This window comes from Homo sapiens, chromosome 10 (genome assembly GCF_000001405.40).
Source record: "Homo sapiens chromosome 10, GRCh38.p14 Primary Assembly".
Classification (NCBI taxonomy): Eukaryota; Metazoa; Chordata; class Mammalia; order Primates; family Hominidae; genus Homo; species Homo sapiens.
This window is the reverse complement of record NC_000010.11, coordinates 61215569-61218615: the sequence shown is the minus strand read 5'-3', so window position 1 is coordinate 61218615 and position 3047 is coordinate 61215569. Positions and strand designations below refer to the sequence as shown.

The 3047-nt window shown below is 36.5% G+C and overlaps 1 annotated feature.

Annotated features, from left to right (window-relative positions):
- Nucleotides 2178–2378: a silencer, noted in NCBI's record as "peak953 fragment used in MPRA reporter construct". NCBI's record gives its function as "represses an SCP1 promoter by STARR-seq MPRAs in K562 erythroleukemia cells {active_cell/tissue: K562}" and the evidence as "EXISTENCE:reporter gene assay evidence [ECO:0000049][PMID:32103011]".

Sequence of the window (3047 nt, the reverse complement as noted above, 5' to 3'; positions counted from 1 at the left end):
ATGATTTTCTATTTGACACATCAATAAAAATAATTCTATTTTTCACCAAGCTATCTGGAGAGATTTTCATCCACGCCTTTATCTCAAGAGGACTTTTTCTTCCTCAGTGTATTTATATATCAGCATTGAATGTCAGCTTGATTCTTCTCTTAATAACTTTAAAGCAGAACTAAAAAGACAAATCTCTCTCACAAAGAGAATGTACTCTCCAGGTCTTCCTGGATAGAACACAACAGCTGTGCCAACAAGTGAAGGGAGGAATGTTTAAAGGACAATTCTGAATTCTGGTTTGGAAGTGCCTTGTTTCATAGATCATTGATGGTGTAACATTTCATTGAACTAGATATTGACTACTAACAAAACCTAGGAAGCACAATGCAAGTAAAGTGTATCTTCCTTGAACTCCAAAAATAGATGATCAAATTGAATACCTCTAAGTTGAAGATTGAATACAAGTATATCAATCACAGGATCCACCGACTTTTCTAGGCTATGGAAAGAATCCCATTCTTCCTTTTGAATGAAGTAATACATTTATAAATAGAGATGTTTGGGTCACAATTTTTGAGTAGCATGAAAGAGAGAATGTCAATGACAAAGAACTCACTTACTTTTCCCAACAATGTCCCTTTGAGTTTCCTTTCTTCAACAAAAGCATATGATTCATCGGTAAATAAACTGCTTTATTTTTGATGTGCCATCCAAGGGACCAAGTTAATAATTGTAACTATAATAATAATAGTTGATGCTAATTATGTATTTTCTCATTGAATTCTCCATACCCTGCAAGGTAGATATTATTATTATCTTTCTTTTGTAGATAGAAAACTGAAGTTTAAGGAAGTAAAGTAAATTACACAAGGCCTAATAATCAAGTGATGAAACAGGGTTTGGATATATCTGGTTTCATAGTCTGCTGCTCCTCTAGCTGCCTGGACCTCACCATAAGGTAATTATAGATTTAATTCTTTATTCTCTTCTTTCTCTTACCTCTAACCAAAACTTCACTATGCTGTGTCCTGTTGCCCCAAAATCTGATTGCTGATATGACAATGCATTTATCACAACTTATCCCAACTAAAATCTTAGCCAGTTAATTGTTGCTGCTCCACAAAAACATGCTATCTGATATTCAGGTTAAAAACATGAGAGCCTATAAATAGTACCAAGGGAATTTCAGAAATCTTGATTAATTATAGAGAGAAGTATCTTAGCTTTGAGAGGTGGAGAAGCCTCCCTTCACCATCCTCCCACCATACATGGAAGATACCTAAATGGTCTTTGCTGATTTTTAAAGATACCACCACACTATTTGGGAACCAATCGCCTATAAGTGCCTCTTCACATATGGCAAACAATATGAATGCTAATGACACTAATATAGATGCAGTAGTGCAAAGGCAGGAAAACTCATGTAGAAAGATCTACGATATGAACGTAATTGTCCAGATGGTTCTAGTCTAGTAAAATTGAATATTTATTTCTAGTAAAATTGAATATCTTAAAGTAGTATACTCCATAAGATGTCAACAAAAAGAAGATGGGAAGTGGTGTAATTACAAACTACGCTTGAAAAAATACAACTTATAGTAGTCCCCTCTTAGACACTAAAGAATATAAATGCCCTGACAGGTCCCACAGTAAATGAACAAATTAATCCTTGCTTGAGCCAGTGTTACCAAGTGTAATGTCTATTAACATTCTTAGGTATTAGGGTTCCATGGAGCACATTTTGGGAAACATGAATGTAATCACTGAAGAGAGTGGGGGAATAAAACTGAATAGTGATGGCTGCAGTCAAATCATAGAATGCAAATTACTTCCATTTGAAGTCTGGATTGAGTAGAGGGAAGTTCTTGTGCATCATAGGCTACTAGCTGGAACATCCCCCAAAGCTCAATGGCTTCACACGAGAGAAGATGATTTACAACTCATGTGACAATTCAATGTGGTCATTTAAAGACATGGGTTTCTTCCATTTTGGGCCTCCAACATCCCCTAGAGGCCGAAAAGTCACCTTCTGGATTTTCAGCATGAGACAGAGAAAGAGAAGGAATAGAGGCTCTCACAGGAGGTTTTTGGTCCAAACTTGGAAGTGGTATCTATCACTTCTACTCACACTCTATGACCTAGAACTCAGTCACATGGCCATACTTAACCACAAGAAACCTGAGTAATGTAGCCTAATTGTGTGCCCCATGAGAAGAGAACACTGTGTAGACAATTATGACTACTTTCTGCTACAGATGGAATTGAAATCTGAGCTGAAGCCAGAAAAGTTTGGAGAAAACCTTGGCCATAGAACCCAGGTAGGCTCTGTCCTTCAAATTGTCAAGCAAACTTTCCATGGGGATGAGAGCTATTCAGTTAACCTTGGGACTGAGAATCTTGGCTAATGAGCATCAATCTATTTTTCTGCCAACTTCAAAAAGAAACTGATTGTGCTTCCTAAATTACTGAATGAGAGAGCAAGGTCCCCTGGGGAAGAATAAACAATAAAGTTTCACCAGCATTTAAGGCTTCCTGTCCCTGTAAAACAATGCGTTTTGGTCAGTTAAAAAAAAAAAAAAAAAAAAAAAAAAAGCTTTTCTTATAATCCCAAGACCATAAAATAATAGGAAGAATATAACCATGTCACTTCATCCATTCAATGAGGAGCTCCCTTTTTGCCTTCTCGACAAATGACTTATTTAATATGCCAAGAATGTTTTATTCACATAGGAGGTTAAAAGAGATGTTATGTAACTGGACCTTCAAGTGACTGGTAACTCACAATGATGCCCTACATTAGTTTGAAGATATGTCATACATTCAGGTCACAGCCTCTTCATATAGCTGGGCATGCATGCATAGTTATTATAAGACCTACTGATACAGGATGAGGTGCTTATGAATAAAATCTCCATTGATACAAATAGACACTGGTTCACCTGCAGAGGAAAGAAACGCTGTTAAAGCTCTACCAATTACCTGATACAGCAAGGGACTAAGTATTGGAAAAGTCTTATTCATAAAATATGAAATTCAAGTATCACAGTGGCAATGCA